Source organism: Homo sapiens, chromosome 8 (assembly GCF_000001405.40).
Source record: "Homo sapiens chromosome 8, GRCh38.p14 Primary Assembly".
Lineage (NCBI taxonomy): Eukaryota > Metazoa > Chordata > Mammalia > Primates > Hominidae > Homo > Homo sapiens.
The window spans coordinates 132,065,266-132,080,269 of NC_000008.11; the positions used below are offsets into that span (position 1 = coordinate 132,065,266).

At 42.4% G+C, this 15,004-nt stretch overlaps 1 protein-coding gene across 1 annotated transcript in view; it reads right to left on the reverse strand.

Moving 5' to 3' along the window:
- The window catches only part of HHLA1 (HHLA1 neighbor of OC90), a 49,678-nt gene that overhangs the window by 3,786 nt on the left and 30,888 nt on the right, over positions 1-15,004 (reverse strand). The window contains exons 11-16 of the mRNA NM_001145095.3: positions 14,453-14,701; positions 12,461-12,706; positions 11,210-11,278; positions 10,790-10,864; positions 6,075-6,228; positions 621-703 (exon numbers count right to left, since the gene is read on the reverse strand). Of these exons, the coding sequence (NP_001138567.1) occupies positions 621-703; positions 6,075-6,228; positions 10,790-10,864; positions 11,210-11,278; positions 12,461-12,706; positions 14,453-14,701 (876 nt within the window). The remainder of the gene's footprint in view (positions 1-620; positions 704-6,074; positions 6,229-10,789; positions 10,865-11,209; positions 11,279-12,460; positions 12,707-14,452; positions 14,702-15,004) is intronic.

The following is a 15,004-nucleotide window of genomic DNA, read 5'->3' on the forward strand; positions in this document are numbered from 1 at the left end:
CTTCAGTCAAGAATTTCAGTATTTGTGGGGGTTGTCCCCCACAAACTGCTCTGTGGCCCAGGCTGGAGTGCAGTGGTGCAATCTCGGCTTACTGCAAGCTCTGCCTCCTAGGTTCATGCCATTCTCCTGCCTCAGCCTCCCGAGTAGCTGGGACTACAGGCATCCACCACCACGCCTGGCTAGTTTTTTTGTGTTTTTAGTAGAGACGGGGTTTCACCATGTTAGCCAGGATGGTCTCGATCTCCTGACCTCGTGATCCGCCCGCCTTGGCCTCCCAAAGTGCTGGGATTACAGGCGTGAGCCACCGCGCCCAGCCTTTTATTTGTCTTTTTAGCTTACATAGGAGCTCTGTGGCTAAGAGATTTGCCTGAGTTCACGCAGAGAGCAAAAGTGCTTGGTCAGGCTGACTCCTGCTGTGTTTTTCCCTTGACCTTATTGCAAACATCAAGCTGTTAGCTGAAAGGGAATAAGAAAAATCCTAGGTGCTCTTTGTCCCAAATTAATGAGGACTAGATGAGCTACAGCATTCCAAAGACATCTGGGAATCACTCAGATTTACAGGACCCTTTTGTGTAATGCATTCACTGCAAAGTTACAACATAGTCAAGCTGTGTACTTACTGTGCGAGTGGGACACCCTTTTCACCCTCTGACAGATATATGTTGCATTCTTCAGAAACCAGGAATAGTATTCAAGACAGTATCTAAAGATTTAAATCAGAGCAGGGAGCAATAACTATCCTGTGATGGCTATTAGAAGACAGCCAGAGTTTTAAAGGTAAGCACATAAACATGAACTATATGGCCAATTATTCACAGCAAGGAACCCTCTGCCCATCTTTAAAGGGTGTCAGAGGAGAGATAGGAAAGAAGGCTGGGTAGGAAGAAGTTCAGACTTTGGGGCCAGCAAGACTTATTTTTATCCCTAGCCCCACTGCGTACTAGGATGCATGACTTCAGGGTGATAACTTAATTCTCTGGACTTTAATTTTCTCATATATAAATGAAAGGCAATAATGGAACCTATACTCGCAGGTTATATAAGGATAAGATAACATATGTAAAGTTCCTGAACAGTACCCAGCATACAAGAGGTGCTCAATACATGGTGACATTTGTCTGTTTGTTTGCTTATTTATTTTAGTGGGAGATGAGAGAGAGAGTGGAGTGCTGCTGTCATTATCAATGCAGCAAACACTTTGCAAAATAACATTCTGTTCTTGGTCAGAGGTGGCAGGAGCTGCATCAGAGGGCTGTGGTGAAAAGATCACTCACCCAATTAATAGGAAGAAGAGTTCTCAGTGCAGGCTGTGTCAACTAGCTCATTGTATGACTCTGGGAATTCACTTCTCTTTCAATCTCTCACCTGATATTTGAGGAGGTTGGGCTAAACATTCTCTAATTTCTCTTCCACCTCTAACATTCTGTGATTCTAGCACACCCTAGAGAGTTGTGCAACTAATTGCTCAAGTCAAGCTGTGGTAGAGATTTTCCAAGGGCTATCACCCCCAATTTATAGGAAAGTGCAAAGCTGAGGAAACTGAGGCACAGAGATTAAATGACTTCCCCAAGGGATTTCTGGTGGTAGTATTGGATTTTAACCCAGGTAACCCACTTTATGCCAGATCACACTGTCATTCTGGTAGGCAATAAGATCAGTATTTGAGTCAGGACCCTGCCAGGAAAGCAGGACTTGGTGGTTCTATAGAGGGACTTTAATACGATGAATCAGTGATAAAGGGCTGAAAGAACCAACAGGGGAAGGTGTGGTAACCCCGCATTAGCAGCCACAGGGAGTTGCTGGGCCTGGAGGGACAGACAGAGAAAGTACTGTGGCCAAAGCACAGAGGGCAATGGCCTTGGTGGCAGCTGGGACCGCAGAGCTGAAGCTGTTATGAGGATTCCTTGTGGAAACTGGAACCACAGAGGAAATAGAGCCGCTCCTGGAAATATTGCCCAAAGCAGAAAGGGAGGGGGAGAAATTCCCTGGCTTCTCCCCTCTACTGCCCTCCAATCTCCTCTCAGTATCTTCTATGGGATGAACTCACTGGAATCTGGTTGGCAGTGTGTTCTGGGAAAGGTAGTTTGCACAAGTCAGCCCCTTCATTAAAGAGTCTACTAGAGAATGGGCAGGAAATGGAACCAAGTGTGAAGAAGCAATTGATGAACACATCCAGGATGCTTTTTGTGAGCTTACGAACCTGTACTCTTAGGGAGACCTTTCAAAACTTCCAGAGATAGGATGTCAAGGTTGGCCAACTCAACAGCTGACATGGCCACTAGATATCTGGTTAGCACAGCTACAACATGTCAAGGGTGCTAGCAATGGGATTCCCACTTGGCTGTGGGAGTGGACAAGAGAGCAACCACAACAGTGTCTTAATCAGCAACCACAAAGCGCAGCGTTCCAGGTACCATGCAGGAACAATTAGATATATTATTTCATTTCATTTTGTTCTCACAACACTGTCAATATGAGACTGCTGCTACCCTTTTACATGAATGGTGCTCCTGGAGTTGTGCAACATGTGGTCTAGAATGTAGGCAGGACTATACCCATTTTGTAGATGAACAAACTGAGGTTCAGAGATTGAATGACTAGCTCAAGACCACATAGCTTGTAAGTGGCAGAGACTAAATTTAAACCCAGGCCTGCCTGGCTTCAAGCCCTGCCCTCTCTATAGCTCACTAAGCTACCTACTAGCTTTGAGGGCCTTGGCTGTATGGTCTAATCCCATTTCTTCTTAGCCAGTGTAACAATCTGCAAGTCATACTTTCTTACAACAGCAACAAAACTTCTTAGAAAGCTTCTGTGATAGAGGATATCAAGCAACTTTGGGGCATGATCTGCTTTAGAAGTTCATATTGCTAGATGGACAACATCATCCAAACTAAGGTGCTCTGTGAAACTGCCAAGTGTGAGGCCAGGATTTAAGTTGCAGCAACCACAGAAACATGACCCACACCTTCATGAGCCAAAAAGCTGCCATTCTGTGCCTGAATTCACTTTGAAAGTGTACACCGCTCTCAGGATGAATGAGAATCTTGCCTCTATGATCAGGAGAGAAACTATTTAAACACGACATGTCCCATCCCCAAGCTTTCTGGCAGAGGCATCCCCTACAGTGATAAATGAACAATAGATAAATGCCCCTGGTTATTACTTTGTAGGGAATGGAGTCAAAGTCCTGTTCATAACAAGAATATGTATTCCTCACATGGACTGGAAGAGGCATTTCCTTGCAGAAAAGGCTAGATGGTCTTAGAAGAAAATCAGTTGTTAAGGTGGCCTATTTTGTTTGTCTTCAGTTCTTCAGGGCAGATATAAGCTGCAATGCCATGGCTAGCATGAGCTGAAACTAGTGTTGAAGCACCCATGATTACACCAGCCCCTTGTAGGTATGTCTATCTAAATTCCTAGCAGACCAGAGCTGCTGCACGCACTGTGGAGTCAGCAGCAGCCTGAATAGAAGAGGAGCCGTGGACACTTCACTGGGGCCTGAGGTAGCAAAATTTGTAAGTCACCAGGGACTGTGGCTTTGTTATCCTGCAAGGAGTGTGCCCCAAGAATGGTTCTGGGGCCCCAAATAAGAAAGATTTCAAGAGATGACCCTGGGAGGGAGATGATATGAAGAGAATGGGAGTTTAGATTATCTCAGTTTAAAAATGGACAGGATTTAGAGGGCTGCACTTCAATAATTCTGTATGTTTTATTTATTCTGAACAAGGAGGGAGTAGAAAGCTTGGAGAAGGGACAGATGGAGCTCTAGAGTGAAAGTCAAAGAGGGCATATAATAAGTTACCCAGGTGCTTAAAAGGCAAGGTAGTCCTGAATAGGGACATGCCAGAGACTTGGTCTCCCATCTTTGCTGCAGCTACATTGAACATCTCAGTGGTCCTTAGATGCTCCAGGCTACCCGTGACTCCATCTTTGCAGATGCTATTTCTTTTGCCTGGAAAACTCCTATTCCTCCATAAAGCCCTATTAGTTATTTCTCCTGGGATCCCATAGCATGTTATTCAGGTCTGCTACAGCACTTGTCAGCTGCTTTGAAATTTGTCTTCTTACATTGCCAACTTTCCCACCAGTGTTTTTTTTGTTTGTTTGTTTGTTTGTTTTTTATCACAGAGGCTACGTTCAGCAAACATACTGAGTAATGCCACCTCCCCTACTCTAGTATTTTTGGCCTATATTCAGTGTATGAGTTTATGGAAAAATGTACTATTCAGTGAAAATACACAGAAAAGAAGGAACAAGCCCAAGCAAACAGGTGCTTCATTGCTCTAAATTTAAACTCAAACTTCTCTCTGAAAATTTATGCCTTTTTCATTTATTCATTCAGCTATTATTTGCAATATGAATGTTTTCAAATGTGATATTTTCCAACGGGATATGATTAACAGGTTTTTGCCTGGTTACGTGACTTGGTTCTATGATCTATAATACTATATTTTGATTTGTGTTTATGACCATTTCTTCCTTCCAACTATGAAACCCTCAGTTTCTGAGGCTATTTCTGATTCACCTCTAGATCCCCATGGCTTGGGACAGAGCATCACAGATATACAGCAGAGACTCAATACACATTGTTGGTTAAGTTAATGAGTAAAGGATCTCCTAAAGTGGGCTTAACCTAGACAATACAGAAAGTATTGTCGTAAAAGTTTTCTTTAGAATAAACCTGTGCTTTGGGTCTACAGGTCTTGCTTATTGCCCTCTATGAATGGAGGAAATGTTCGTACTGACGGGGGGGGGGGGGAGGGGGATGAAAGATTACAGCTGGAAAGGGGTGATGGAAAATGGCTGTCCACCTGGGCTTCAGACTCAGAGGCAGAAATTTTAAAAGCTAATGGATCTTGAGAGTAGTCTTTGAAAATAACATTAAAGACAGGAGAGATTGGTATCCAGGCCACTGGAGCAGGAGTATTCATCTATGTAATTTAGTTCTGGGTTTACAGCCAAGAATAAATCCCAGAAGAAATAACAGTATGTCAGCATTGTAGGACAGAAAATGTCCATGTCTAGACCTTCTTAATATAAAACAGGTTCTGCTTTTTAATTTAAGTTTTCCAACTTATTTTGCTGGTGGATGATTGGTAGGGATTTATGAAAGAACTGGAATTTAGATAGACATATCTTCTAATTATTCTCTCCTAGCAAATCTCGCCAGGCTGAGGGCATTTGGATTAAAGAACCACTCAAGATCCTCTGCCATGATCCTCTGCCATAATTCTACTTAACATGACACAAGTTAACTTAACTCAACACAACATATCTCAATATAGCTTAATTAATCTAAACTCAACACAATTCAACTTATCTCAACTCAACTCAACTCATCTCAACTCAACACAGCTCCACTCATCTCAACTCATTACACCTCAACTCAACTCATCTCATCACGGCTAAACTCATCCCAACTCAACTCAACTCATCTCAACTCAACACAACTCACCTCATCTCAACTCAACACATCTCAACTCAACACAACTCAACTCATCTCAACTCATCACTATTCAACTCATCTCATCACAGCTCAGCTCATCACAACTCAAGTCATCTCAACTTAATACAACTCAAGTCATCCCAACTCAACACAACTCAACTCATCTCAACTCATTACAACTCAACTCAACTCATCTCAACACAATTCATCTCATCACAGGTCAATTCATCTCAACTGATCACAACTCCAGTCATCTCAACTCATCACAGCTTAAGTCATCTCAACTCAACACAACTCAACTCATCTCAACTCAACTTATCTCAACTCATCACAACTCCAATTCAACTCAACTCAACTCCAATTCAATTCACCTCAACTCAATTATACTTATTGTGTCAGGCACTGCACTTGGTTCTGGGGACCAGCTATGAATGAGATTCCATCATGAATCTCAAGGATGTGACTGTCTAGTAAAGGACTCACTGGAGAGTCCCTTACCTTGAGGTAACCCCTACTGCCTGTCTGTGGATTGCTTATTGCCTGACTGCCTTGTGGCCTGCAGAAAAGCCACACGGAATAAGAAAGCTATAAATATTCCATGTGAAAAGAAGCCACTGGGCCAAGTTACCTCATGTCCTCTGTCCTGGGACTCCTCTGGCTCATGCAGAGGCATTGCTGGAAGAATTGGCACAGCTCCATCAGGCATGGGTTGAGCCTCTGAATAGCCAGGGTGAGAGGAGCAGCTGCCATAGCTCCCACCTTGAAGAGTGGCTGAGGACACCCTAGAAGATGCAATCCCAGACCAATTAAATCAGTAAGAGTTTAGTAAGCATCTTCTCTTCGTTAAGCCCTGCATCAGGTGAATATAGTCTTGTCCTGATCTCACGTAGCTCTGAGACAGACAGGTAAACATAGCATTCCTCACCATTACCCAATAAAGCTACTGTAACAGTTTTAAGAGTCAGGTGGAAAGAAGGTGGTGATCGAGTTTCTGGAGGAAAACAGAGATAGTTTCACTGAGAAGCAAATATTAAACAGAGATCTAAGATGTTGAACAGGAATGTATCAGGTGGAGGGCATTTCTGGTGTAAGGGACAGGGCATACAATGACTCTGCGTGATGTAAGGGGGTGACTTGCTGAGGGGGATTTGAGAAAAATTTGAGTACAGGGGATATGAGGTATGTATATGCATGTGTGTGTGCAGGGTACATGTGTGTGCATGTGTGTGTATATGTATGTGCATGCATGTGAGAGCATATGGATATGTGTTTGCCTGTGTGTGTGTGTATGCACGTGCATGTGTATGTGAGTGCAAAAAGGAGAGAAAGAAGGGCAGGTTGAAAGATGAGACTGGCATGCTGGGTCACTGGAGAGTCAGGCTCTGCGTTTGTGAGTTCTGTGTTTCCATCAAGTGAAAGTTAATTATGTTTCCGTGAACCAGATTTTCAGTGTTGTTTAATTTTTAGTTTTTAGGAGGAAGGCCAAAGATAAAAGAAGGAGACAACAAATTATTTTTAATAAAAATTCCAACTTGTTGGGATCTGCTGAGACTCAGAAAGCTTCCTATGGCTACACCTACATTTCCTTATATGGAAAATAGGGAGACCCATCCCTATCATATAGAATGACTGGAAGGATTAAATGAGACAATTTATATAAAGTATATTGCATATTGAAAAGTTGTTTGCATGAAACAAACAATAAATAATAGCAATTATTATTATTATTTATTTATTAAAAATTTGTTGAGCTCCACTACATGCTAGGCACTGGTGACAGCCACTAGAGCTACAAAATGAATAAGAAGAAAAAGGGCCTTCCTCTCACAGAGCTTACTTTCTAGGGACTGGAAGGTTATATTACAATATTACTAATAATCTTCCAACAAAGGTTCACTAATCACTACCAGGAAAAATTATCTAAAACCTGGAAATAAACAAAAAGGATTACTGAATACCCTTTTAATGCAGTTTGGTTATTGTCTAGCAGACTCTCTGCGGATTGTCTGGGTAAAAATAATTGTGCACCATTAATTGACTTTCTATTGAATAGGTGATTTTACAACTAGCAAGGGGTAGATGTTAACCGATAGCAATATAAATAATTCTTGTCTAAGAGCAATGCTAATTATTTCTGTCCATAGCAATGTAAATGAATTTTGTCTGGTAGAGGTGCAATTGATTTTTGTCCAGTAAAAAAAAAAAAGAGTTTATTGCTGTGGAATATCAATTCATTTGAGAATTCCTTTGACTGACTACATAAATCTTTTCCCCTCAAATTCCCCATTGAAGCAATCTTCACATCTTTCTGGTTTCCTCATTACTTAATGAGTTCAATAATATCTTTGACATGTTGACATGTATTCATTCAATATTATTCTGTCATGTTTGAACATTTTTCAAAATTATAATTTAGCAGTAATTACTTATTTTTATTTTTTATTTCTTGTAGAGATGGGGCCTTGCTATGTTGCCCAGGCTGGTCTGAAACTCCTGGGCTCATGTAATTCTCCCACCTCAGCCTCCCAAAGTGCTGGAATTACAGGTGTAAACCACCACATCTGGCCAGGAATATATTTATTTAAGTGGAGAAGGGGCTCATAATGTTAGCAGAAGACTTTTTAAGAAGGTAGAAAGAAAATACTTTATTCTGAGTTAACTAGAAGATAAACCCTCCAGAACACTGACCAATTTCCATCAATGTGCCCATGAGTTTTTCTCTATCAGTTATTGAGCAGTTGCTATGTATCAGGCACTCTCCTAAGATCTTTGCATACATTATTTTATCTAATTCTCATAAATCTTGTGAAGTAGACATCAGAAGTATACAGAAGAGGACACAGAGGGTCTGAGTAACTCTGCAGTTGTATCAGTTATGCAACAGGGAGTAACTCCAGCAAGATCTGACTCTGAAGCCTGTGCTCATAACCATCACACTTCACTACTTGAACATAATTAACATTCCCAAGGCTTGATTTCCATGTCCCTTGCCCCAACCCACCCCATCCATCCTTCTCTAACTCAGGAAATGACACTTGGGATATTCACTTAGTTGCTCAAACTTGGGCATGATTTTTGGTTCCCTCCTGTGCTCACTCCATCATCACCGCATCCTCTTGGTTCTATCTCCTACATATCACCCAAGTCTCCCTATCCACACAGTCACCTCTACTTTCCAGTCACCATCACCACTGGCATCATTAGCACAACAGTCACCTCGCAAGTTTCCCTGCTTCCAGCTTCTCCTGTTCCTCCCCATTCTGCAGTCAGAGGAACCTTTCTGCAACACAAATCTGATCACATTACTCCCACTTGCCTCAGAAGTCTACACTCCTTGACATGGTGACAAAGTACTGTTAATCTCACTCTTGGCTACCTCTCTAGCCTCATTCCACACTACCCTCACTTTCAGCACCTTCAACATCAGTCCTTTTAAGGTATAGTGCCTTTGCTTAAGCTATGCCTTTGCTTAGAATGCACCTTGTTCAGGTGCCACATTCTCAATCAATAAACTCTTGAACCATCCCCTCACCTGAAGGTAATCTCTTCCTCTCTGGATATACATAGCAGTTTCTGCTTCTCTTAAGAATCTAGTCACTCTTTTTTTTCAATTGCAGCTTTTTTTTTTTTCACATATGGCATATCTTGGAAAAGGTGACACAGAGGTGTGGAATAAGCACAAGCTTTGAAATTAGATCTGGTGTCAAAATGGAGTCTCCTTTTATATGTAGAACTCACCATAATTCCTGAATGAGATATTACCTCTCCTGCAGAATTATTGTGAAGAGAAAGTAAAAATAGGCCTAGCATAGTACCTGGCAGTACAGTAGGAGCCCAATAAATATTTATTAAATGGATGAATGAGTGGATGCCAAATACTTTGTGGCATGATTTTTTTTTTGGATGAGCAGAATAAGTTACTGAGAAATGCCAGAACCCCTTTAATTTGCAATTATGTTTTTCATTACATAGGTAGATAGATAGATGACAGATGGATAGGCAAATATCTATGATATGGAAGTTAAGAAATAAAGATAACCAGATAGAAAGATAAATAGGTATGGATGGATAGGTGGGTTAATTGAAGGATGGATAGATAGATGGCTTGGATAAATATCTATTAGATAGATGACAGATGAGTGGGTAGGTTAATAAATAGATAGATATGGTAAATACCTATTAGGTAAGTAGATAGAGCTAACAAGAGAGACAGATAGATATAGTTATACAGATAGCTATAGATACATGGATATAGATACAGATATAGATATAGATATGGATATAGACACCAATATAGACATAGATATAGACAGAGTCAACCTGTTTTCTAAAACTTGATCTCACAACAGCCTCCATCTGCACCACTGTGTTTCTTTAGAACTCCTGGGAGAAAAGGGATATAATTTCCTTAGTAGCATAATCACATCTTTGTGTCTGAAAGGTTCATTCACTATTCACTGCAGGCTGAGAGTAAGGCTGGGGCAGATCTAAGGTGACATGAAAAAGGAGACGGGGCAGGGTCCAGCAGTTTAATAATGCCCTGTTGACATATGACTGGATGGTCCAGGAGCTGGTGTACAAAGGTATTCAGGAGTGGGAGGAGCCTGAGAATTCAAGCAGCTTTGAAGCACTCACTTTGTATCCATTTCTTTCTTATGGAATCTGGCTCAACAGAAAAGAGGAGAGTGAGATGTCCAAAAGCAAGCTGGAAAAATGCAGCAAAAACCACAGCAACTCAAGTCCTCAGCCTCTGTCAGGAGTTCTGAAAACAGAGCTACAAACTCAGGAAATGGTCTTCGTCTAGATCCATGAGAATTAACTGTGCAGGGATGGAAAGGGTAGGTATCCCTTAACACAGAACAACAGGACATCATACCCAGCAAATGAGGTTGCATTTTGCAGTCATCTTTTTTATTCCTTCCTCCTTCACTGCCAACAACCCTGCTCCTTGCAAGAGCAGCTTCTATTTGCAAAGTGCCCAGCATGCTACCCAATAGACATTCACTCGATAAAAGTTGATTGAATTAAGTTCTACAGAGCTCTATACTTCCAAACCACTTCCACAAACATTATCTTACTTAATACAAAACCTTGTGGGAAAGATAAAAAAACAGGCATTTTTAGTGCCCACAAAAATTGCAATTATTCTTGCTTTACAGTTGAGGGAACTGAATCTTGGAAGTTGAGTACTGGAGGCCACCTCACCAGTAAATGGCTGAGCTAAGATTTGAATCCCATGAGTCTGATTTTCTAAATTTACCGAACAAACCTCTCCTTATTCTACTACATGACCTTGTTCAAAATAAACACAAGCAATAGTAATGACTGGGCACTGGTACTTACTTGAAACTTGATGGGGTCTTGGGACCAGGACTGGCTCTTCACCAGCAGTGAATGGCCACTCTGCAGAGAGATCACCTGCAAAGGGCAGGAATGGCCTTCCAGAAGTCAGAATGGAATTACCTTAGGTGATACACACAGCAAGAAATTTATAACATCTTAAAGGTAAATCATTCTTGAAATCTATAGGAAAATGATAGCCAAAAAAGGGGAAGTGATTTATGGAAGACCACACGGAAATTTAGCAGCACGGCAAGGCTTATAAACCAGTTCTCCTGACTCTTTTCCTGCAGGAAACAATAAAGCAGAGTAACCTGCTTAGATTGCTTACTGGTACCCCATCCCACCACGCCCTTGTCCCCAAGCTTCCCACCCCTCCCATCCCCCACCCCCAAACCCCCACTTCCGTACTGAGTTTCTCACCTGTTTGTGGATATCTGGGGGCTGTTGCCTTGGTTGGACTCGGAGTCTGTGTGCCATGGGTGAATGCTCCTGGGAGGAGATGAGAGAGAGGTGAGCCTGCATCTCTTCTAGGGGGCCCTGAGGGAGAAGATGACCAGGGCCACCTATCCTGCCCTATCCAACCAATGTTGGTTAAGCCAGGTACCAGGCAGGGCTTTAAGAAGCAGAGATGAGTAAGAAATAAAACCCACAATGGAGTGTGAAAAAGGAAATGGGAAAATCCCATCATTACTGTGATACAGCGTGATGGTTGCCATTGGAAACCAGCTGACATTGGTAAGTTATGGTGACCCTGCACAGGAGAGCGATGGTGTTGTACAGGAAGTGTCCAATGTGGGTGATCCAGGGCAAAGAAAAAATGAGTTAAAATGAGTTGCTTCTCATTCATCTGAGTCTTAGTGTACACCTTGATCCATCCCACCCCCGACAAATTGCCTGTCATATTCATGACAGAGTACGGGCTCAGTTCAACAATTTTTGTATCATGTTCATGAAGCCTTAGTTTAAGGGTCACTTCAGGACTTGATCGTTTCTGTTAAGATTCTGGCCTCTGGCGAAACCAGCAATACAGTCTCCTTGTAGGAGACCAGTGAGAGAGAAGCTCAAGCAGGCAAGTTCCGTCATATGGATAAGTGGAAGGAAAGAGGTGAGGCTGAGAAACAGCCGAGGCACAGGCGATGGACACCCAGTTCAGCTGGGTCAGGTGACATCTACTCTAAGTCAAGCAGCACAGCAGTTCTGGAGGAGAGTGGGCTTTGCAGGCACACAAAGTGCATACATAAAGATCAGGAGATGTGGGCAGTAAGCAGTGTGCTGTGGCTGGAGTCTAGAGGAGGAAGGTGGAGGGGCGAGGTGAGGCTGAGCAGCAGGCAGGGCTCATGCCTGGAATTTCAGGCCCGGGTCCATCCATCACAGTTGTCATACTGCTTGTTAATGGACAATGAAACAGGGAAAAAGAGAAGAAATTGGGGAGTGCGATTACATAAAAGAGAGAGGAACTGGGGAATGAAAGAAGGAGCTTTCATTCATCTACAGATGGGAAGAAAGAGGTAGGGCAAAGGAAAGGAGAAGGAAGAGTTTGCTTCATGATCATTATGTTTTCTTAGTTTTCTGTGTGTGTATTATATTCCAAAAATTTAGAAAGTTTATCAAAACAGACAATGCTAAGTTTAATTTAAAACGGGAGAGGTAGAAGTGAGCACCCTCTCTTACCCAAGGTAGGGCTGGCCTGGGATGGGCTGCCAGGTGTGGCCATTATCTCAGCAGCAGGCGCCAAAAGGCTTGTAGTGTTCATGGCTTCCTCGGTCCCTGCAGTAGTCGGTGGGGAAGAACGAGTTTCCCAGAGAGACCCTCCAGGTTTTTTCTCACTGATGGTCTGAGCCCAGGGCACGGACGATATGGAAGCCCACGTCTGTCTGTCAGCTGTCAACCACTGAGTTCTGGCCACCCTCCTGGTAGCTGCACATTCAAAGTGACAGTAACAGGGTACAGACATGCTTGACCACTTCGATTCAGACATGAAATTGCTGAGACATTGAAACGTTATCAAAGGGCAAATGCAATGTGAACGTGTAATATAAGTAATCCAGGGGCTTAAACTTTACTCTGAACTGAAATAAATGGACCAAAGTAAGCATTGTTTTCCTAAGCACCAATAAACACACACACACACACACACACACACACACACACACACACAACCTCTAAATCTCTAGGACCCCAGGCGTGTGTGTTTGGGGGTCAGTTAGCTGTCTCTCAAATTTATTTAATACATTTCTAATCATGTGACATAGTGAAAAGATTGTGGGGTCTGAGGTGAGGAGATGCAAACAGATTAGTTGTGCCTCTGTCTCCTCCATGGTGTGAACTTTGGGGCAAATTGCTTAACTCCTTTTAGCTTCCTCATGAAAATGAGGATACCAGTGTTAATAATAACACCTGCCCTCCAACATCACAGGATTGTTATTAGTTAAGAAAAATCCTTGGCTCATGCTATTTAATGGAGTTGATTTATTTTCCTCTACACCACCCAGTCATCCTTGTTTCCTTGCCTGCTGACACCTATCAATTCTTATCTCTTGGGGAAGCCTGTGTCTCCTCTATGCCGGGGTAGGAGCCCTCTCTGTGTTCTCTGTGTACAATAGTTCTTTGTAGGCTGGATCATAACTATTGGTTTACTTGCCTGGGCTCTCTCCTAGGTCTGAGAGCTCAGGAAAGAGAGAGAACATTTATAGAGCTGTGTTTTTAACAGCTAGCCTCCTGTCTGGAAGGAAATATGTTTTGATGAGTAAATAAATGAATGAATTCTGATGACTGAATGAATGAATTCTGATGACAATATTGTCTCAGTGGGTCCATTGTTGGAACCCACTGAGAAAATATTGACTCTTTTTTGTTTGTTTGTTTTTTCTGCACTTTATTTTATTTTAAGTCTTAGGTTACATGTGCACAACTTGCAGGTTTGTTACATATGTATACATGTGCCATGTTGGTGTGCTGCACCCATTAACTCTTCATTTAACATTAGGTATATCTCCTAATGCTATCCCTAATGAGCTACCTCCATTTTATATTATTTCCAAATAGGAAAAATAAGATAAGCATGCCTTTTGTGTCTTTAGTGATGACACTGCTGATCATGTACGCAAGATGCTGGGGAGGCAGGGGCCTCCTGCAGGTCATTGGCGGCAGCTTTCCCACTGGTGTTAAGTCATTAACATATTCTTGGCATCATTATGAAACCAGCTACAGACTGACCTAACCATGCCATAAAATATTGACTTCACTTCACCGTTTCATGTGAATTTCAGGAGCGATATCGCTAAATGCTTTGCTGAAATATAAATACTTTTGCCACAATGTACTGTGATTATGTAAGACATTAGCATTGAAGGAGGCTGGGTGAAGGGTACCAGGGAACTCTCTATATTATTTTTGCAAGTCTTCGTGAGTCTTAAACTATTTCAGAATAAAAAGGCATCAAAATACATATTAGAAACACATTATGTCAATGGCATTTTCTGCCTTTGTTTGATCTTGTAGAACCCATACCGGCTCATACAGATCTGTTATTTAAGTAAGCTGAAGCGTAACTTCAGTTGGTGGAGAAGGGATTAAGGTAAGGATTTTGCTTATATATGTGAGCCTAGAGGTAACAGGAGCGAGACATAGCAAAGGGGAGGAAAGGGTGAGAATGCATCTTACCCAAGGCTGGGAGAGTGTGGGAGGCACTGAACCATGTGGCTGTGGCCCTGGCTGGAAGCTCAGGAGGCCTGCCTGTGTTCAGGGTCTCCTCTGTTTCTGAAGGAGCAGCTGTCTCTGTCCAGGGAGAGGATCTCAGAGCAGATGCCCAGGGTGTGCTCTGGGTCCAGTGTCCGGGGCTTGTACTTGGTAGTGTTTTCTGGCTTTTGGTTGTGGGCTTTGAAGTCCTGGCAGTTCCCCTGGTAGCTGCACCTTCAGGGAGGCAGTCAATGGTAACATTAACATGCTTGACACTTTGGGCATAAAAAAACTGAAAGGTCACTGGACTGCAAATATATGAATGTGGAGATTCAAACCTTTCTCTAATTAAAAGTATCAGGCATTTGCTATGTTTCCTGAACAGATTCTGACCCCTGTCAGAGCCTTTCTTCCACCTCCAGCCCTCAGCCTCTCCAGGACTCTGGTACATGTCTTTGGAAGAGGAATTAGTCTCCTCCATATGCCTTATGGATACAACTAAATTTCATGTGCGTCCGTGTGAAGAGACCACCAAAC